General features: G+C 41.6%; 1 protein-coding gene across 9 annotated transcripts in view, besides 1 other annotated feature; it reads left to right on the top strand.

Moving 5' to 3' along the window:
* Positions 1-22,502, top strand: part of PMFBP1 (polyamine modulated factor 1 binding protein 1) — a 133,293-nt gene that overhangs the window by 92,998 nt on the left and 17,793 nt on the right. For 8 of the 9 annotated variants that reach the window (XM_047434734.1, XM_011523361.4, XM_011523358.4 and 5 more), the window contains 6 exons: positions 2,493-2,741; positions 6,123-6,344; positions 16,370-16,540; positions 17,553-17,663; positions 20,133-20,259; positions 20,347-20,504. In XM_047434734.1, coding sequence (XP_047290690.1) covers positions 2,493-2,741; positions 6,123-6,344; positions 16,370-16,540; positions 17,553-17,663; positions 20,133-20,259; positions 20,347-20,504 — 1,038 coding nt within the window. The remainder of the gene's footprint in view (positions 1-2,492; positions 2,742-6,122; positions 6,345-16,369; positions 16,541-17,552; positions 17,664-20,132; positions 20,260-20,346; positions 20,505-22,502) is intronic. The other variant, XM_047434735.1, reaches the window with a different exon arrangement.
* Positions 19,227-19,727: an enhancer, noted in NCBI's record as "H3K4me1 hESC enhancer chr16:72171124-72171624 (GRCh37/hg19 assembly coordinates)". NCBI's record gives its function as "activates a minimal SCP1, AML or CMV promoter by ChIP-STARR-seq in naive H9 embryonic stem cells {active_cell/tissue: H9 hESC(naive)}" and the evidence as "EXISTENCE:reporter gene assay evidence [ECO:0000049][PMID:30033119]".

The raw sequence follows: 22,502 nt of genomic DNA, 5'->3' as shown, positions 1-22,502 counted from the left end.
CCTCCCAAAGTGCTGGGATTACAGGTGTGAGCCACCGCACCCAGCCGATTTTGTCTGTTTTATATACTGCTATATCCCCATTACGTAGTGTAGTGCTTGATATACTAGGTGTACCACATTATTTGCTGAGCACATTAATTAGATGAAAATATCATACCCACACAAAGGCTAATATGGTTAATGTTCATAGCAGCAGTATTCGTAATTGCCAAAAACTGAAACAACCCAAATATCCATCAACTGGTGAACAGATAAACCAAATATGGTATATTTATACAATGGAATACTATCCAGCAATAAAAAGGAATCAAATACTGATTTTTTTTTTTTCTGAGACAGAGTCTCACTCTGTCGCTCAGGCTGGAGTGCAGTGGCACGATCTCAGCTCAATGCAAGCTCTGCCTCCCAGGTTCATGCCATTCTCCTGCCTCAGCCTCCTGAGTAGCTGGGACTACAGGCGCCCGCCACCACGCCTGGCTAATTTTTTTTGTATTTTTAGTGGAGACGGGGTTTCACTGTGTTAGCCAGGACGGTCTCGATCTCCTGACCTCATGATCCACCCACGTCGGCCTCCCAAAGTCCTGGGATTACAGGCGTGAGCCACCGTGCCCGGCCTCCAATACTGATTCTTGCCGCAACCTGGATGAACCTCAAAAACATTATGCAGCCAGGCACAGTGGCTCACACCTGTAATCCCAGCACTTTGGGAGGTCAAGGTGGGCAGATCGCATGAGCTTAGGAGTTCGAGACCAACTTGGCCAGCATGGCAAAACCCCATCTCTACTAAAAATACAAAAATTAGCTGGGTGTGGTGGCACACACCTGTAATCCCAGCTACTCCGGAGGCTGAGGCATTAGAATCACTTGAACCGGGGAGGTGGAGGTTGCAGCGAGCCAAGATCACACCACTACACTCCAGCCTGGGCAATGGAGCAAGACTCTGTCTCAAAATAAAATAAATATATATTTTTATTTATAAGAAGCCAAAAAATGACATATTATACAATTCCATATGTGAAACGTCTAGAAAAGGCAGAAAATCCATAGAGGCAGAAAGCAGATTTGTGGTTGCCTGGAGCTGGAGGAGGGAGCAGGGGTGACTGAAAATGGGCATGAGGAAACGTGGGGGGTTGATAGAAATGTTCTAAAACATTGTAATGATGGTCACACAATTCTATAAGTTTATTACAAGTCACTGAGTTGCACACTTAACAATGGTTGCATTTCATGATATGCAAAGTATACCTCAATAAATCTGTTTTCAAAAAGTTAATTTAAAAATTTGAAAGCCACGGTATTAGAAGTACTCTGTTAATGAGGCCAAGGCCACAAGCTCAACCCCTCGGGAGCCAATGAGATTGCTTGGACGCTATTTTCATTTCTTTCATTCAATTCATAGGTATGTATGAATCTGTAAACTAGGCCCCATAAGAGCAAACATGGCCCTGCCCTCCAGGAGTTTATAATCTAATTAGAAGTTAAAATGCACAGAAATAATTACAGACAGAATACAGAATAGCACATTAAGGACATGCTAGCAAAGTCTGTGGTACTGGTGCAAAGACAGCTTTGCAGGGAAAAAACAGGAAGGAGAGCAGGATTTAAACAGAAACTTAAAGAATGTGTAGGAGGATAATAAGCAGGGTTGGATGCTAAGGACTGCCCAGAGGCTACCCTCTTTATCCACCTTAACCTCACGTGTCATTGTCATAAGGGATGCTGGAAAATATAGGAAATATAGAAGCATCAGCAACTCAGGGATGTGTCCTACCAGCAGAATACCTGGTAAAACATAGGTGCTTAGCCTGTGTCTGTTGAGTGAATGAATGAATGAATGAAAATGAAGGATGAGCCTAGCAGCATTTCAGATAGATTGTGGATTAGCAAGAAGAGATCACACCACACACACACATACACACACACACACGCACACAGAGTCAGCATCCGCAAGGTCACATCTTCCTTCAGGAGAAGGAGACAGAGTCAGTGCCCAGATGTACCTGAACAATATCTCTGGCTCTCATTTTTCAGCGTTTCAAAATCCCCAAGAATTCACCCTTGACTCATTGCAATGCTCCTTTACCCAGGTGTTTTTAATACCAAGTTTAGTCCAAGAACCAAGGCCAGAAATCCATTTCCTTCCAAGTCACTAGTGTTATCTTTATATGGGAAGGCAACACCTCAGCATATTATTACACATATCTCCCTAGGTCCTTTATGTGTATATTTTTTCTTCTGACCTAAATAATAAGATTTTGGTAGATAAGAACCATTTTTTTTCTTCTACTGAATTCTTCTTACTGAGTGGGAATACTAAGTGATACATTTCCTTGTGAATAGAGTGAAATGTTTAATAAGATCTCTGTAGATGAAAAGATAAAAAGATGGATAGATGGATGTGAATGACTGAACAAATGAAAAAAAAATCCTGGAATGAATACGTCCTTAGTGATGATCTAAAGCCTTTTTTGTATATCCTGTCTCTATGGTAGGACAAGAAGCAAGCACAGGCATTAGCATTCGAGGAGTCAGAGGTGGAATTTGGGTCCAGTAAACAGTGTCATCTGAGACAACTCCAGCAACTGAAGAAAAAATTGCTGGTCCTTCAACAAGAACTGGAGTTTCACACAGAGGAGTTGCAGACTTCTTACTATTCTCTCCGCCAGTATCAGTCCATCCTAGAGAAGCAGACTTCCGACCTGGTTCTTCTGCACCATCACTGCAAACTGAAAGAAGATGAGGTATAGACAGATTAACCATGGAAATAACCCACATTCTTAGGTACCTGCAGAAATCAGACCAAGCCCACTAGAAAGCAGACGCTGGACTTAGGAGAGCTTTGCAACATCCCGAGCAGGTTTTATAAACCTTCCCCCTTTAATTCTTGATCTTTTTGAAGCTGAGCAGAAGGAAACTAAACTGAATGGCATAACTCGGTGAAAGCTGCAGTATTCATGCATGTGGAATATGTGGAGTGTGTGTGCAGGCATGTGTGTGTGTGTGTGTGTGTGTGTGTGTGTGTGTGTGTGTATAAGTCCATCTTCTCCATTCTATTACCATTGCAATGTAAATGCAAAAGACTGTAGGTCTCTGAGGGTTATCAAAGAGGTATAAGGTCCATTAAATCCACCATTTTTAGAAAAATAAGGTCTTGATAATATATAAATTCCTGGCACGTGCACACTAGATAAGATAACCAGATGTTGAGTGGGAGTCAATCATTGAGAGTACCAGGTAATTTTTTCAGACTGGAGTTTTAGATCATATAGGCTTCACTTAGGTATATTCAGGACATTAATTCCCATTCATGTTCCAGGGTGGTATTTTCTAAGCCGAAGAGTACCACCCCTTTAGAATCCCAAGTAAATTCCAAAAACCCAAAGCTGCAGCACTAAAACCACTTGAGCAGTGATAGCACTAGGTGCAGTAAACCATGGGTTCTAAATGATGGGACAGACGTACTCTTCCATCCTGGGGTTTCCCCTGGCATTTTCTTTCTTTAGATTTAAAGATAAAATTTCAAGGAGTTAGGTTCTATTGGAAGGACGGAGAAGAAAAAAAAATTTCAAAGAGTGTTTTGGATGGTGCTGTTGCTTAAGGACTAACTTCAAGGACTTTAGGTAGGACCTTACAGACCATAGACTTTTTAAAAAGGGAATATTGTCACCTAGTGAAAATCTGCTCAAAAGAATTAAGAGTGGGAGGAACAGAGAAAGGTTATTCTAATCCTACAAATATAATCTATGACTTAGCCTGTGCACATACACATAGTTTTAAAAAGATAGTGCAGGGCTGTGTTAAAACTTAGTGGTTCACTACAACTTAAACAAAAGGGTCCAGCCTGGATAAAGTGACCCTGAATGAGTTGGGATTCTATTTAGCAGCATATAACAGAAAATAAATAAGCTAGTTGATTTCTGTGTCATATTTAAAAAGGTCAGAGACAGGTGGTCTGTTGCTGTTATGGCAACTGTGTGTGTCATCAGGTCTAAGGGTCTATCCTTGGGTTCCACCAGCATCAGCTCAGGGCTTCCATTCTCTAAGTCACCTGAGGTGCCTGCTGGAGCTTCAGCCGTCACATCCTTTTTTTTTTTTTTTTTTTTTTTTGAGACGAAGTCTCAATCTGTCGCCCAGGCTGGGATGCATTGGCCCGATCTTGGCTCTCTGCAACCTCCGCCTCCCAAGTTCAAGTGACTCTCCTGCCACAGCCTCCTGAGTAGCTGGGATTACAGGCACGCACCACCACACCCGGCTAATTTTTGTATTTTTAGTAGAGACGGGGTTTCACCATGTTGGCCAGGCTGGTCTTGAACTCCTGACCTCGGGTGATCCGCCCATCTTGGCCTCCCAAAGTGCTGGGGTTACAGGCATGAGTCACCATACCAGGCCACATCCTTGTTCCAAATAATCCAGATAAAAGGGCAGAGGACCAGGTGACAAGGGTGGAAAGGAAAGGCACACTCCCTTCCTTTTAAGGACACTTTCCGGAAGCCACAACACCTTCACTTAAATATCCCTGGCCAGAATTAGTCACATGGCAACAGCTAGTTTCTAGGAAGCCTAGGAAATGTGGTGTTTTAGGAGGTGCATTGCTGCCCCCAGTAGAGTCAAGGTTCTATTAGTAAGGAAGAGCGGGAGAATACATACAGGACTCGGCAAATAACAGTCACTGTCAAAGATCCCAAACCGAGAAAGCATTGAGAGAATTATTTTAGACATTCTGCCAAGTTCCCCCAATGTCTTGTTGCACAGCCTCATCAAACATCTGTCTAAGGTTGGGTTCACTCAACAGCAGACCCTAAGACAAGGATATAAATTCAAGTAACTAATTCCGGAGGTGATTCCTGCATGCACATGAGCAAGTGAGTCAAAGAAGGACCGGAAGCCCATAAAGGACACTGGTATTGAGTAGATTGCTTGCTTGGTCCCTCTGGGGAACTCTGGGAGATAGTGTAGAACATGCCTCAGAGTGAACCCACCAACATACCCCCAGTCATTGGTTGAGGGCTGCTCCTGAGGGCGTTAACCCCCCAGCACTTCTAACCTACCCTGTCTTGCCTCTCTGGTTGAATGGGCTCCTGGTATTAGAGAAGCCCTCAGGCAGAGTTGAATATGCTTGCAGTGGGAATGGGGTTAACTTGCAAAGAAATAGCAAGTGCCCAGGGGATATGGGCTGGCCACTGACAGCTTTGGTTACAAATATTTGGATATAAAATATTCCTCTCTTCTTCCCCTTACGTAGTAGACACCTTACACAAAGTTATCCTTTCCTAAGAAGAATCTCAAATGACAGACAGCAAGTATAATGAGCTTAAACTAATGGAACATGTTCTATCAGCATTCTACATTGGATTATTTAAACTAATATAAAGCCATCCTTCATGACTCTTCTGCTGTTAACTCCTTCAACACATCAAATTCGAGCCATACAATTTAGCACACTCAACTACCTACAGCTGTTTATTCATTTTAAATCTTATGTCCCCAAGATTGTGAAAGTTTTAAACTCTTTGAGGGGTGAGCATATGTCTAATATGTATATATCCCCTCTGCACTTAACACAATGCTCGTGAGCTTTCAATAAATATCTGTCAGTTTGTTGACTAATTACTTGATGAGGAAGAAAATAAATCTAAACAAGGATTGTGCAAATCCCAGAGGAACTTTGGGTCATGTTCCCCACCTATCTCTTGGGAACTTTCCTGACATAGTCCTGTGTGCAGGAGGAAGTCTGCATTTTCTAAGTTCAACCTCTAGAGAATGCCTGGGAAGGAAAAAATACCAGCATTTCAAGCCCTTAAAAAACAGAGCTATACAAATTCATTCCTATTAATCAACTAGCAAGTATTCATTGAGTTTCTGCCACATGCTGGGCAGAATGGGAAATGGATATGATCCTGCCTTGAAGGAGCTTACCTCTAACTAGGGCCACCTTTTTTTGTTTCCAATCATTAGCATCTTGATATTACATACTGTAGCTTTTAGATCTGTGCAGCCTCTCTTCTGTTCATCTGGTCTTCTGGTTCAGATACAAGACTTCTCTGCAGGGAATCTTACAACCGCATCCTTTCCTCATTACGTGCTTCCATGGGCTCAATGTGGATTTATTCCTACACCTACAGGTGATTCTCTATGAGGAGGAAATGGGAAATCACAACGAGAACACAGGGGAGAAGCTCCATTTGGCGCAGGAGCAACTCGCCTTGGCCGGGGACAAGATCGCCTCTCTAGAGAGGAGCTTAAACCTCTACAGGGATAAATACCAGTCTTCCCTGAGCAACATCGAGTTACTAGAATGCCAAGTGAAGATGTTGCAGGGGGAACTCGGCGGGATCATGGGTCAGGTAGGACTTAAGTCAGGCCATTCAATCCAGGCAAGTGGATGTGCTCCCAGGTGGTCCCCTCAGACAGTCCCAGCCTCCTCCACTGGAAACCCAAACCTTTACCCAGATGTCACTTCCTGCCCTTGATTTTGTAGCCCTCAGCTTTTGAACCTCCAGCTTTCACATATCCTATAAGATCACTTCTTCACAATTTTGAGGCTCTTTAATTAACATAAAGAGTCACCACTTCAAATAACGCCAAAAGAGAATTACCAAATAAGCTTCAGCCCCACAGTTCCCTGTGGGGTTGGCTGAGCCTTTGTTGAGATTGCATCACAGCTCATCTCCCTCTGCCCAACCCTGCTTCCTCCCTCTTCCTTTCACAGGTGTTAATACCAACAGCTCTCCCTAACAATGTCCAATCTTTTCTTAGTTCTCATGGGGGTCCGGCAGGGGGCTCTGCTAGGCCACAGGACTCATGCAAACCACAACTTCAGGATCAAATAGGAGGAAAAAGCTGTGAAACATGGGAAAGAAAAGTCGAAACACCTGATTTGTTTCTTTTTTCCTTTAACTGCTATTTTTAATTACACAAGTAATACGATTATTATAGGCTCTCTAGATAGAAGTATGGAGATTAAATATGAAAGTCTGCCTTCAACCTCTTCCCCATCATTCTCCTCCTCTTCTTAGGTAATTACTTGAATCATGTGTTGAGAATCCTCTCGGGGCTTGTGCTATATACAGTTACATATATAAATGGGCAGGAGGTTATTTTTACCTAAGTGGTTATCAATGTGGTTTTAAAACTTACTTTCAAAATGCACATTTTTTTTTTGAGATAGTGGTGCAATCTTGGCTCACTGAGGCCTCCATCTCCCAGGTTCAAGTGATTCTCCTGACTCAGCCTCCAGAGTATCTGGGACTACAGTCACGCGCCACCATGCCCGGCCAGTTTTTGTGTTTTTAGTAGAGACATGGTTTCGCCGTGTTAGCCAGGCTGGTCTTGAATGCCTGACCTCGTGTGATCCACTCACCTCAGCCTCCCAAAGTGCTAGGATTACAGGCGTGAGCCACCGTGCCCAGCCTAAACTGCACATCTTGACAATTTATTTTACTTACTACCTTGTATTCTGTAGTAGGGATGTACTACCTATTGACCTGTTTTTTCCTCTTTTTTACAAACGAGCTGTAATTAACTTCCTTATTTCTTTTGGATAATTCTTGAAGTGTGATTGCTGGGTCAAAGGATATGCTTATTTTTATTGTTTAAAGATACTTCTAAATTATATACCAAAAAGGTTCTACCAGTTTACACTTTTACCAATAATAATTAAGAGAGCGTATTTCCCCACACCCATCCACACTGTACGTTTTCATTCTTTTAAAGTTGTGCTAAACACTGATGGGTAGGGAGATAACGTTTACTGGTTACAATTTTCATTACCTTAGTTCTAATAGTCACAGGTTGGGTTCCCCAGGAAGCCAACTCTAAGACAGAGTAGTGTGCAGGACGTTTTTAGGGAGAGCTCTTGGTATTAACACCAGTGAAAGGAAGGAGCGGAAAGCAAGGTTGGGCAAAGGAAGAAGTCGAGCTGCGATGTAGTCTCAACAAAGGCCTCAGCCAACCCCACAGAGCTGGATGAACCTTCAGAGCCTTGCTAAATTGAAGGGAAGGGAGCTGGCCTTTAAGCCTCCATGTCATCATCAGTTCTGGGATGTGGGCCCCATAGGGAGAGGTGCTTGGCCTTGGGCAAAGCAGTTTTCTTCAGCCTACACAATCCCCATAAAGGGCAACAAGTCCTTCATTGCCAAAGGGGATCTGGAAGGCCCAGCACAGTCTCCACCACACTTATGAAGGATTGAGCACTATTCATAAGCATATTGGTCATATGGATTTCTGTTTTATGAATTACTTGTTAACTCATTTTTTACTGGGTTTTTAGTCTTTTTTTCTATTGGTGTATAGGAGCTTCTTAATATATTACAGGCAATAATGCTTCATTACATATGTGGCAAATATTTTCTCCCAGTCTGTAACTTTTCATTTTACTTTATTAGTGGTATTTTTCACCATACAAAATATTTTAATTTTTTTTATTTTTTATTATTCTACTTTAAGTTCTGGGGTACATGTGCACAACGTGCAGGTTTGTTACATAGGTAAACATGTGCCATGTTGGTTTGCTGCACCTATCAACTTGTCATTTACATTAGGTATTTCTCCTAATGCTATCCCTCCTCCAGCCCCCCACCCCCCGACAGGCCCCCATGTGTGATGTTCCCTGCCCCGTATCCATGTGTTCTCATTGTTCAACTCCCACTTATGAGTGAGAACATGCGGTGTTTGGTTTTCTCTTCTTGTGTTACTTTGCTGAGAATGATGGTTTCCAGTTTCATCCATGTACCTGCAAAGGACATGAACTCATCCTTTTTTATGGCTGCATAGTATTCCATGGTGTATATGTGCCACATTTTCTTTATCCGGCCTACACTGCTGGGCATTTGGGTTGGTTCCAAGACTTTGCTATTGTGAACAGTGTGGCAGTAAACATATGTGTGCCTGTGTCTTTATAATAGAATTACTTATAATCCTTTGGGTATATACCCAGTAATGGAATTGCTGGGTCAAATGGCATTTCTAGTTCTAGATCCTTGAGGAATCACCACCCTGTCTTCCACAATGGTTGAACTAATTTACACTCCCACCAACAGTGTAAAAGTGTTCCTATTTCTCTACATCCTCTCCAGTATCTGTTGTTTCCTGACTTTTTAATGATCACCATTCTAACTGGCATGAGATGGTATCTCATTGTGGTTTTGACTTGCACTTCTCTAATGACCGGTGATGATGAGCTTTTTTTCATATCTTTCTTGGCTGCATAAATGTCTTCTTTTGAGAAGTGTCTGTTCATATCCTTTGCCCATTTTTTGATGGGGTTGTTTTTTTCTTGTAAATTTGTTTAAGTTCTTTGTAGATTCTGGATATTAGCCCTTTGTCAGATGGATAGATTGCAAACATTTTCTCCCAATCCGTAGGTTGCCTGTTCACGCCTCTGATAGTTTCTTTTGCTGTGCAGAAGCTCTTTAGTTTAATGAGATCCCATTTGTCTATTTTGGCTTTAGTTGCCATTGCTATTGGTGTTTTAGTCATGAAGTCTTTGCCCGTGCCTATGTCCTGAACGGTATTGCCTAGGTTTTCTTCTAGGGTTTATATGGTTTTAGGTCTTACATTTAAGTCTTTAATCCATCTTGAGTTAATTTTTGTATAAGGTGTAAGGAAGGGATCCAGTTTCAGCTTTCTGCATATGGCTAGCCAGTTTTCCCAGCACCATTTATTAAATAGGGAATCCTTTCCCCATTGGTTGTTTTTGTCAGGTTTGTCAAAGATTAGAGGGTTGTAGATGTGTGGTGTTATTTCTGAGGCCTCTGTTCTGTTCCATTGGTCTATATATCTGTTTTGGTACCAGTACCATGCTGTTTTGGTTACTGTAGCCTTGTAATATAGTTTGAAGTCAGGCAGCATGATGCCTCCAGCTTTGTTCTTTTTGCTTAGGATTGTCTTGGCTATGCGGGCTCTTTTTTGGTTCCATATAAAATTTAAAATAGTTTTTTCCAATTCTGTGAAGAAACTCAGTGGTAGCTTTATGGGGATAGCATTGAATCTATAAAGTACTTTGGGCAGTATGGCCATTTTCATGATATTGATTCTTCCTATCCATGAGCATGGAATGTTCTTCCATTTGTTTGTGTCCTCTTTTATTTCCTTAACAGTGGTTTGTATTTCTCCTTGAAGAGGTCCTTCACATCCCTTGTAAGTTGGATTCCTAGGTATTTTATTCTCTTTATAGCAATTGTGAATGGGAGTTCACTCATGATTTGGCTCTCTGTTTGTCTGTTAATGATGTATAGGAATGCTTGTGATTTTTGCACATTGATTTTGTATCCTGAGACTTTGCTGAAGTTGTTTATCAGCTTAAAGAGATTTGGGGCTGAGACGATGGGGTTTTCTAAATATACCATCATGTCATCTGCAAACAGAGACAATTTGACTTCCTCTTTTCCTAATTGTATACCCTTTATTTCTTTCTCTTGCGTGATTGCCCTGGCCAGAACTTCCAATACTACACGAATAGGAGTGGTGAGAGAGGGCATCCTTGTCTTGTGCTGGGTTTCAAAGGGAATGCTTCCGGTTTTTGCCCTTTCAGTATGATATTGGCTATGGGTTTGTCATAAATAGCTCTTATTATTTTGAGATACATCCCATCAATACCTAGTTTATTGAGAGATTTTAGCATGAAGCGCTGTTGAATTTTGTCAAAGGCCTTTTCTGCATCTATTGAGGTAATCATGTGGTTTTTGTCATTGCTTCTGTTTATGTGATGGATTACGTTTATTGATTTGCGTGTGTTGAACCACCCTTGCATCCCAAAGATGAAGCCGACTTGATCATGGTAGATAAGCTTTTTGATGTGCTGCTGGATTCGGTTTGCCAGTATTTTATTGAGGATTTTCGCATCAATGTTCATCAGGGATATTGGTCTAAAATTCTCTTTTTTTGTTGTGTCTCTGTTTTGGTATCAGGATGATGCTGGCCTTTTAAAATGAGTTAGGGAGGATTCCCTCTTTTTCTATTGATTGGAATAGTTTCAGAAGGAATGGTACTAACTCCTCTTTGTACCTCTTGTAGAATTCAGTTGTGAATTCGTCTGGTCCTGAACTTTTTTGGTTGACAGGCTATTAATTATTGCCTCAATTTCATAACCTGTTATTGGTCTATTCAGAGATTCAACTTCTTCCTGGTTTAGTTTTGGGAGGGTGTATGTGTCGAGGAATTTATCCATTTCTTCTAGATTTTCTAGTTTATTTGCATAGAGATGTTTATAGTATTCTCTGATGGTAGTTTGTATTTCTGTGGAATCAGTGGTGATGTCCCCCTTATCATTTTTTATTGCATCTATTTGATTCTTCTCTCTTTTCTTCTTTATTAGTCTGGCTAGCAGTCTATCTATTTTGTTGATCTTTTCAAAAATCCAGCTCCTGGATTCATTGATTTTTTGAAGGTTTTTTTGTGTCTCTATCTCCTTCAGTTCACTCTGATCTTAGTTATTTCTTGTCTTCTGCTAGCTTTTGAATTTGTTTGCTCTTACTTCTCTAGTTCTTTTAATTGTGATGTTAGGGTGTCAACTTCAGATCTTTCTTGCTTTCTCTTGTGGGATTTAGTGCTATAAATTTCCCTCTACACACTGCTTTAAATGTGTCCCAGAGATTCCAGTATGCTGTGTCTTTGTTCTCCTTGGTTTCAAAGAACATCTTTATTTCTGCCTTCATTTCGTTACTTACCCAGTAGTCATTCAGGAGCAGGTTGTTCAGTTTCCATGCAGTTGTGCGGTTTTGAGTGAGTTTCTTAATCCTGAGTTCTAATTTGATTTCACTGTGGTCTGAGAGACAGTTTGTTGTGATTTCTATTCTTCTACATTTGCTGAGGAGTGTTTTACTTCCAATTATGTGATCAATTTTAGAATAAGTGTGATGTGGTGCTGAGAAGAATGTATATTCTGTTGATTTGGGGTGGAGAGTTCTGTAGATGTCTATTAGGTCCGCTTGGTGCAGAGCTGAGTTCAAGTCCTGGATGTCCTTGTTAATTTTCTGTCTCATTGGTCTGTCTAATATTGACAGTGGAGTGTTAAAGTCTCCCACTATTATTGTATGGGAGTCTAAGTCTCCTTGTAGGTCTCTAAGAACTTGCTTTATGAATCTGGGTGCTCCTCTATTGGGTGCATATATATTTAGGATAGTTAGCTCTTCTTGTTGCATTGATCCCTTTACCATTATGTAATGCCAGAAGATTTTAATTTTTATGGAGTTGAATCTGTCAGTCCTTTATAAATTCTAGGTTTTATGTCTTGCTTAGAAAGGCCTTCACTACCTTCAGGATTATAAAAGTTTATTGTATATTTTCTTTAGCACTTTTATAATTTTGCATTTTTATGTTTTTATCTTTAGTCCATCTGGAATATATATTTTATATGTATAATGACATAAGGCTCGAATTTTATTATTTAAATAAATATCCAGTGGCCTCAAAACCATTTATTGAACATCCCAAGCCTTCCACACTGGTTCAGGTACCAGCTCACAGACCGATTCTTCTGTACACGGGACCTTCTCTGGACTCGGTATTTTTTTTATCTTTCTGCCAGTTCGTGTGCCAGTGTCAGAGTTTTTTAGTGACTTTAACTGGTAGCTTGTTTTAATAGATCCTGTTAGGACAGGTCCTCCTTCACTCTTCTACACTTTCTATTTTTTCTTGGCCATTTTTTTATTTCTTTTCTTAATGAAATTTAGATTTATGTTGACTGACTTTCAAATTATGTACTAATTTGGGGGAAATTAGCATGCCCTGTGGAATATGACATATTTTTACTTTTATGCAAGTTTTCTTGTGTGTCCTTCAGTAAGATTTTGTACTTTTCTCTGTAGATCTCACGTATTTCTTGCTATGTTTATTCCTGGACATATTTCAGTTGTTATTGGTTTTATAAATGGGATCTTTTATACATTTAATTTTATTAATTTTTTTTTTTGAGATGGAGTTTCGCTCTTGTTGCCCAGGCTGGAGTGCAATGGTGCAATCTCGGCTCACTGCAACATCCGCCTCCCAGGTTCAAGCGATTCTCCTGCCTCAGCCTCCCGAGTAGCTGGGATTACAGGCATGTGCCACCAGGCCTGGCTAATTTTGTACTTTTAGTAGAGAGGAGTGTTTCTCCATGTTGGTCAGGCTGGCCTCGAACTCCTGACCTCAGGTGATCTGCCTACCTTGGCCTCCCAAAGTGCTGGGATTACAGGCATGAGCCACCACACCCGGCCAATTTTTTTTGTCTCTGAGATGGAGTCTCACTCTGTCACCCAGTCTAGAGTGCAGTGAGGCAATCTCTGCTCACTGCAACCTCCGCCTCTTGGGTTCAAGCAATTCTTCTGCCTCAGCCTTCCAAGTAGCTGGGACTACAGGCACGTGCCACCACAGACAGCTAATTTTTGTTATTTTTGCAGAGACAGGGTTTCACCATGTTGGCCAGGCTGGTCTTGAACTCCTGACCTCAAGTGATCTTCCCACCTCAGCCTCCCAAAGTGCTGGGATTACAGGTGCAAGCCACCACGCCCGGCCTAATTGTATTATTACTGTTGTATAGGAAAACTTCTCTCTTATCCTGCCACCTTACTGAGCTCTCTTACCAGATTTTCACTTGACTGTCTTGGATTTTCCTAAATTGCTTTCCCTTTCAAAATTTACACAACTTATTTTCCATCTTATCGTATTGACCAGCATCTCTAGAGCAAAGTGGAATTGTAGCCTCTTTGCCTTGCTCCTCATTTTAAAGGAAGTAATTCTAGTATTTCACTATTAAGTATAATGCCTGTTCTTGGCTTATTTTCAATATCCTTTCTCAAATTGTAAGTATGACTGTCTATATTTAGCTTATCAAGAATTGTTATTAGGAATGAATGTTGAATTTTATCAGATGTTTTTATTAGCATCTATCCATCAATGAAGCAGATTACACGAATAGATTTTCATATATAGAACAATGTTTATGTTCCTGGAATAAACCCTATTTGATCATAATATATTATTAATAATTTTAATGAACTTTACTAAATTTGTTAAAAGTTAATTTTTTTTCATCTATTTTCAGAAATGAGATTAATTTGATGGCCTAAATTTTTGTGCTTTCCTTGCATATTGGTGTCTGGATTATGCCATCCTAATATAATGAGCTGGAAAGCTTTTCACCTTCTTTTAAATCTCTGCCACTGTGTATATATAGGAAGTATCTATTTCTTTAATATTACAAATAAACCCAGCTGTTTCTCATTACTATGCTCGGCAGTCCCTTCACCTCTTCTGCATTCTTGGAGTTTTCCTTTTGCTGTAAATAATTCCTTCTTAATTCTTTCAGAAACAATTGTGGGTGGCACAATTTCTCAATATTTCCATGTCTGAGCAAGGTTTATTTTGTCATCATCCTTGAATGCTAGTTTGGCTGGATATACAAACTTTCAAAAGCATCTTCCCTTAAGTCTTCAAAGATACTGCTGCATTTCTTTGTACCACCTTGTACCACAGTATTAGAGATGCATTGTTAGATGTCAGTGTGTTTCTCATTTTTCATAGTTTACCTATTTTATCTCTTTGAACACTGGAGGTTTTTAGGCTTGGGGTGTTAAGCCATTCAACACTTCACTAATCCTTTTAGTCTGAAGATCTACATTTTTCTTCACTTCAGAGAATATTTCTCCTATTCCTTCTAAATTAGTTTCCATTTTTCATCCCATAGTATTAAGAAGATATGTAGATATCTTCTTCCTTGTTAGCTTTTCTGTTTTGTTTTCTAGTCATTTGCCCCTGTAGACTCTGCATTATCTACATGAACATTATTTACAGTCAATTTTAGATTTCTGCCTGGCCTTCCTGCAGCTTGCTCACAGAAGGCTTTCATGCTCACTGAACATGAAGTATTCCTAACTTTGCCTGAAAAAGCCCAGTTAGAGAGACAAGTTTAATGGGGAAAGGATCTACCACCCAAACTAGAACGCTTTGCTTTTTTTTTTTTTTTTCACGATGTATATCAATTTACCCCCTTATGATTGTGAACCAATAAGAGGGCAGTAACCTTCGTGCATGATTTCAAACGATCTAGGGAAAGACATTTAAAACAAACATGGTTCAAGGAAAATAGCCATACTCATGTTGATGACAGTGTTAGGTGTTAATTTCTTTGAAGGACAATAGTACAATATCCAATTTTAAATATGATCTGGGAGTCCTACTTCTATGAATTTAATGTACACAATTACCAGAATAAATACTCAAAGATTTATGTACAAAAGTATTCATTTCAGCTTTGTTTCAGAAAAAAAAAAATATGGAAACAACCTATATTCTCATCAGTAGGAAACCAGATCAACACATTTAAAAGCAATTTAAAAGAACAAGATAGAAGCACATGTACTAGCATTGATAAATCTCTAACTCATCTTGCTGAGTAAAAAAACATTTTTTATGTTTTAAAAAGCCAACATAATTTATATTGTACAGATTCATTTATATTATGTAAATATAGTATAAAGTTCTAGAATATGCACAGACTGTCATCTCTGGAAAGTAGAGAGATAATGAAATTAGAAGTGACGGTCAAAGAAAAATTCAGATCTGCCTGTAGTGTTACAATGTTTTAGAGAGACAATATAAATATAATTACTTATGTAATTTGAAATTAATTTTAAAAGAGGAGTAAGATAGATCAACAAGTAACAATATGAAAACTATCTTAAATAAATTGTCAAGTGAAAACACAATGTTTAAATACTGTATAAGACACTCATTTGTCCACCGGATGTGGTAGCTCATGCCTGTAATCCCAGCACTTTGGGAGACTGAGGCGGGTGAATCACCTGAGGTTAGCAGTTTGAGACCTGCCTGGCCAATGTGGCGAAACCCTGTCTCTACTAAAAATACAAAAAAATTAGCCCGGCATGGTGGCACATGCCTGTAATTCTAGCTATTTGGGGGGCTGAGGCAGGAGAATCGCTTGAACCTGGAAGGCGGAGGTTGCAGTGAACCAGGATAGTGCCACTGCACTCCAGCCTGGGCGACAGAGTGAGACTCCATCTCAAAAAAAAAAAAAAAAAAAAAAAAGACTCATTTGTGTAAGAAAAAAAGTGATTTTTATGCAAATATGCATAAAATATTCCTGAATGATATCCAAAAAGCTGGTAACATGGATTGTCATCAAAAAGGACACCTGAGTCATAGTTAGGATGGAGGAAGACTTATCTTTCAGTGTCTTCTCTTGTGAACCATTTGGACTTTTTAACATGTATATGCACTAGTTAATATTTTTTGTTTTGTTAAGGAAACCATGATTTCCATATATGAACATATACCTTTAGAATATAGGTCTAGAGATTTTCCATGTTCATGGAATTCTGAAGTAACTCACAAACTATAAGCAAAATCAACCCATTATTTTTAAATCTCTCAGGAGCCTGAGAACAAGGGTGATCATTCAAAGGTACGGATATACACTTCTCCTTGCATGATTCAAGAGCATCAGGAGACTCAGAAACGACTGTCTGAAGTCTGGCAAAAGGTCTCTCAACAGGATGATCTCATTCAAGAACTTCGAAATAAGCTGGCCTGCAGTAACGCTTTGGTAAGTGCCTTCTTCTAGAACATGTCTCTGGGAGACCCTCAATCAAGACATGGGGAGAGAAAGGAGGGGAAAAGAGTCACCTAAATTAATCTTTTTCGCCGAGAATCCTCAAATGTCTGATATATACTTGCCCCCCAACTTTGTTCATATTCTCCATGGTAATGCTTCTTCCCACCCAAATAGTGTGAGATTCTAAAGAATCTTAAAATCTCTCACACAACAACCTAACTGCCCATCAGTGGGGAAATGGTTAAAGAGATTAAGAGAAATAATTGAAGAGATATCCCTACTGTGGAATAATATGCAGCCAGTAAAAAGGACTAAGCACATCTGTAAGAGCTGCATGGAAGGCGCTTTGTGACTTATCGTCAAGAATAAGTTGCAGAATTCCATGTATAGTTCAGTCCAACTTTTGTTTTATCTCTAATGATAATACTAATATATAAGTACAAACTGAATTTTCAATACTGTCCTCTCCCTTAGTGGAAGTGAGAGAAGGGAGAATAAGTGAAGAGGGGGTTTCACTTTTCCATGCTCAGGTCTTATTTGAATTATTTTCAACAAATTCAAAAAAGCATAAAATTAAAACCAAAATTTCATGTTTTTTATTTTTCAAAAAAAAATTACACACACAATTACACACTCCATAAGGAACTTCCTTCTTTAATTCTCAAACTTTGTATCCTGTCCTCTGATAGATTAGGTATATCTCTCCATCACAGCCCCTGAAGAACCTTCTTCTGCCTCATCAAATGGACCAAACGGAGGTTTAGGAGAGAGTGCAAGGGTGGGCATTGATGAACTTGAGACAGATCACATATGCCTTAGAGAATCTTGATGTAAGATGGGGAGCTTAATTCCTTCTCCCTACCTACCCCACAGGGAATGCCTGATGAATTGTATAATTCTGCAACAAACTTATGCTGCAGAAAGGAACACTCTGAAATAATAGTCATGGTAACAAGCACGTTCCATTGATCATCCAGCATAACTGATCTAAGCTTATTTGCAGGTTCTGGAGCGTGAAAAGGCTTTGATAAAACTACAAGCCGATTTTGCTTCCTGTACAGCCACCCACAGATACCCTCCTAGCTCCTCAGAAGAGTGTGAAGACATCAAAAAGGTGGGAGAAATTTGCTGATCTGTGCCTACTGGGATCGGGCTGAGCTGGGTTTGATTCTGGGCTTTCCTACTTATTTTTTATTTTTATATGACAATTTATATTTTATTTTATATCTGTGTGAGCTTGGTTGGCCCTGCCACAAGGATACTGTGTATAATGTATGCCAAACCCAAAAGACAGGCAGCATTCAATTTTGGAACTGCACCTGTCTCTTAACCCACTTCTAACAGTACACCTAAACAAGACAATATTTCTGTTGCCTTGCTACATTCAAAAGGACCATCTAGCCTCCTCGTGTCTGGCTGGAGTTGAAAAGTACTAATTTAGGAAAGATTATTAATCCAAATTTATTCCCCCTGCTTTTTTTTTTTTTTTTGAGAACTCTGTGTTTGCAAAATTCAAAGCAGTATCAAAAGTTGATTCTAATAATAAATGAGCAGTTAAACCATGTAAACAAATAGCAAGAATTGAGTGGCCAGGTGTGGTGGCTCATGCCAGTAACCCCAGAACTTTGGGAGGCCAAGGTGAGCAGATCACTTGAGGTCAGGAGTTAGAGACCCACCTGGCCAACTTGGTGAAACTCCATCTCTACTAAAAATACGAAAATTAGCCAGGTGTGGTGGTGGGTACCTGTAGTCCCAGCTACTAAGGAGGCTGAGGCAGGAGAATCACTTCAACCCAGGAGGTCGAGCTTGCAGTGATCTGAGATCACACCACTGCACTCCAGCCTGGGCCACAGAATGAGACTCCATCTCAAATAAAATAAATAAATAAATAAATAAAAGTTGATGAACCAGGAGTTAAAACATGGCCAGGTGTCCTCTTAGGTGAGGTCCTGTTAAGTCAGCCATGACTGAACTTGGTACCTGGCAAAGCCAGCCACAGGAGGCCATGCTGGGCAGGTGCTGGCATGCCTGCACGCCCCAAGACTGATGCTGAAATGGGGGCGAAGCGGGGTGGCAGAGGGAGTAAACAACACATGTCAGCTCCCCAAGGGGTTCTCTAGTCGGGGAGGAGGAGATGCTCCTCTTTCCAGGACTTTCCAATCCCAGAAAGTTGGTTGAACAAGGGATCAATATTGAACTTTGTAGTTCTTCCTTGGACATCTGTCAATATTTATTTTAAAGATCAGTTCCATGTTATTCACATCCTGACCTAGAGCAAAAATCTCATAAGACTCCATTTTTTTAGTGATACAAACTTCCCCAAGAAGCAGAATACACCTTCCCCCACCGCATTATGTTTCCTTTCCAAAGCCCTCACGCTCCCTGGGGCTCCATTAGGAATGAGAGACCCACGCCAGCTTTTTCCAGCAGGCCTCTCCTCCCCTCGGCAAGTGTGGCACAGTGTGGGGCTTTGAGTCCCTGCAGTGCCCACTCCTGGGTCCTGCAGTGGCTGCCCTGAATCTCTCCAGCTGTCACCTCCTGGCTTCCTGCTGCTGCCCTCCCTCCTAGCAGCTCTGAAATCACACAAATAACTCTCCCCAATATCCCCGATGCCAGGCAACGAATTGCTCCTCCCCAGCCACATGTTCCTGCCTTCTCTTGGTGAGGAAGGCATCCCCTCTCCTTCAGGGTAGAAGCCAATGGTCTTGCAGAAGGACCCCAAGCCCCAGGTGATGTGACCACCCAGCTCCTCACCTCGTCTCCTCCAGCTCTCCCCATTGCCTGCTCCGTGCCAGCCGCACTTGCCTCCTCCATGTTCCCACCACAAGCGTTGTCTCTGGCTGGTCTCCCCGCCTGAAAGCTCACCTCCAGCAAGTCTCAGCTGGGAGGCCACCTTCGCAGGGAGGCCAGCCCATCCTCCTACTTAAAATTGCAACATGCGCCTCCCCCGCCCATGCCCCTCCATTCCCCTTCGCTCTTCTGTTTCCCCCATAGCACTTATCCACTGTTAACATTTTCTATAAGTCACTACTTATTATGCTCTTCATCTCACCCCACTAGGTCAGCTCTGTGGGGACAAGGATTTGTCTGTGTCTTTTGCTCCACATTATTTGCTTTGAAAATATTAATGGAGCCATGCCCAGCACCCAGGACAGTGCCGGGCACACAGTAGATTCTCCATAAACAACTGTCTGTCTCAGGGAGGAAGGGATACAGGGATGGCTGCTTTTATGTGTATTCCGTGTGAGCCTGAGAAGTCTGCAATATCCTTTTGTTTTATTCTCTTTTTTAAAAAAATTTCATTGGGAGACAATGGACAAATTATAAAATTCACCATTGGTTTTTAGTATATTCACAAGGTTGGGCAATCATCACCACTACCTAATTCCAGAACATTTGTGTCACCCCAGAAGAAACCCTGTACCCATTAGCAGTCACTCCGCACACCCATCCCCTGGCCCCCAGCAGCCATTACTCTGCTACTTTGTCCCTACTTACTGTTGACTGTGGATGCTGGGCATTTTAGAAAGCACTCTCCATTGTCTCTCATCTCCTCATCCTGCCCTGTTCTTCCATCTGCCAGATACTGAAGCACTTGCAGGAGCAGAAAGACAGCCAGTGCCTGCATGTGGAGGAGTACCAGAACCTGGTGAAGGATCTGCGCGTGGAACTAGAGGCCGTGTCGGAACAGAAGAGAAACATCATGAAGGGTAAACTGGGGCTGCAGGCTGTGGCAGGGGAGCCAGAAGGAAGCCTAACTCTCCCCTGAGCATAGACTCTGTCCCGCCCCATGGTAGACATGATGAAGCTGGAGCTGGACCTGCACGGACTGCGGGAGGAGACATCTGCCCACATTGAGAGGAAGGATAAGGACATCACCATCCTGCAGTGCCGGCTGCAGGAGCTGCAGCTGGAGTTCACCGAGACCCAAAAGCTCACTTTGAAGAAAGACAAGGTAAAGTGAGGAACTCTGGTTGGGGTTCCCAATGGGGCAGGTGTGAGGCCATGTCCTGGCATTAACCGGTTCTGCCTTCACCCACCATTATTGCTTTGGGAGCCTCAACACAAGCACAGTGAGATGGTGGCTCTTCAGGCCCAGGCTCAATTCTAAGCACTTCTTTGGTATTTCTCATCATACATAATAAATGAATCTGATTATGCAGGGACCAAAACAGAGGCACTGACTTTTCCCAAGCCCCGCAAGGTAGCAAGAGCATTTGTGACACACTTACTTGCATTGTTCCCTTATACTCTTCTTATGCTTGATAGTGGAAGGAAATGATATAAAATAACAGGTAGCCTTACTAAGAATTTCAAGTGAATTTCACTTTTAAAATTACAAATATCTGCCTGGGCATGGTGGCTCAAGCCTGTAATCCCAGCACTTTAAGAGGCCAAGGTGGGGAGATCTCTTGAGCCCAGGAGTTTGAGACCAGCCTGGGTAACATGATGAAACCCCGTCTCTACAAAAAATACAAAAATTATCTGGGCATGGTGGTGTGCGCCTGTAGTCCCAGCTACTTGGGAGGCTCAAGTCACAGGATCACATGAGCCCCTTGAGCCCAGGAGGTGGAGGTTGCAGTGAGTCGTGATCATGCCATGCACTCCAGCCTGGACACTAGAATGAGACCCTGTCTCAAAAAAAAAAAAAAAAAAAAAAAACAGAAAAATTAAAAATATCTTATGAATATGTAAATAGGCAGTTTGAAAATATTAATGGAGCTGTGCCCTAAAAGAACTGTTACTGCCAACATAAATCAAATTCTTGGAAAAGCCTAGAAATGGAACCAAGAACAGAAAGGTGGTGAAACCAATGCAAGCTTTTTTAATCAGTACTATTCCGACTCTGAACTTCCGTCAGAGCTATTAAAAATAATCCAGCTGACGGCCGGGTGCGGTGGCCCACGCTTGTAATCCCAGCACTTTGGGAGGCCGAGGTGGGTGGATCACTTGAGGTCAGGAGTTCAAGACCAGCCTGACCAACAGGGTGAAACCCCGTCTCTACTTAAAAAAACAACAACAACAAAAAAAAAAAAAAAAAAACACACACACACACAAAATTAGCCAGGCATGGTGGTGCACAGCTGTAATCCCAGCTACTTGGGAGGCTGAGGCAGGAGAATGGCTTGAAGCCGGGAGGGGAGGTTGCAATGAGCCAAGATTGCACCACTGCACTCCAGCCTGGGCAACAAGAGCGAAACTCTGTCTCAAATAATAATAATAATCATCATCATCATCCAGTTGATAGACTGGCTGGTCATGAAAACCTCCTGTTTCAAGGCACAGAGGAGATATGCCCGTCAAAACAGAGGTATTTGGAGAGATGATGACAAGGCACGGAGTCTGCGTAAACAGTTTTGAGTTATTCGTATATTCACTCCACAAATATTTTTGAGCCCTAAAATATGCCAAGCACCGTCCTAGTCACTAAGAATATCACAAAACCTGCAACATGCCTCTTGTCATAGAGCTTGCACTCCTGTGTAGGGAGACAGCCGGTAAACAAAATTAATATATAATACTGATATACCCACATCAGACACTGATAAATCCCTCCAACAGCTTGATGGCGGTTGTACACAGGGTGATCAGAGAAGTCCTCTCTGATAGGGTGACATTTGGGCAGAGATTTGAATGAAGTGAGGGAGCCACCCAGGCAGAGGTCTGGAGGAAGAATATTCCAGGCAGAGGGAATAGCAAGTGCAAAGGCACTGAGGTGGGGTCTGCTTGGAGTGTTCCAGGAGCTCAGCAGAGGCAGAGAGTTGTGAGGGTGGCAAGGGGTGAGGTCAGACAGGTAGCCTAGGACCAGACCATGGGGTGCTTGTAAGGACTCCCTCCTTTTTCTAAGAGATGGAAGCCAGTGGAGGGTTTTGAGCTGAGGCAAAAGATCTGACTTGCACTTTTAAGATCCCCCTCTCTAGCTGGGCGCAGTGGCTCATGCCTGTGATCTCAG

This window comes from Homo sapiens, chromosome 16, assembly GCF_000001405.40.
Source record: "Homo sapiens chromosome 16, GRCh38.p14 Primary Assembly".
Lineage (NCBI taxonomy): Eukaryota > Metazoa > Chordata > Mammalia > Primates > Hominidae > Homo > Homo sapiens.
This window is presented reverse-complemented; position numbering and strand designations above follow the sequence as displayed.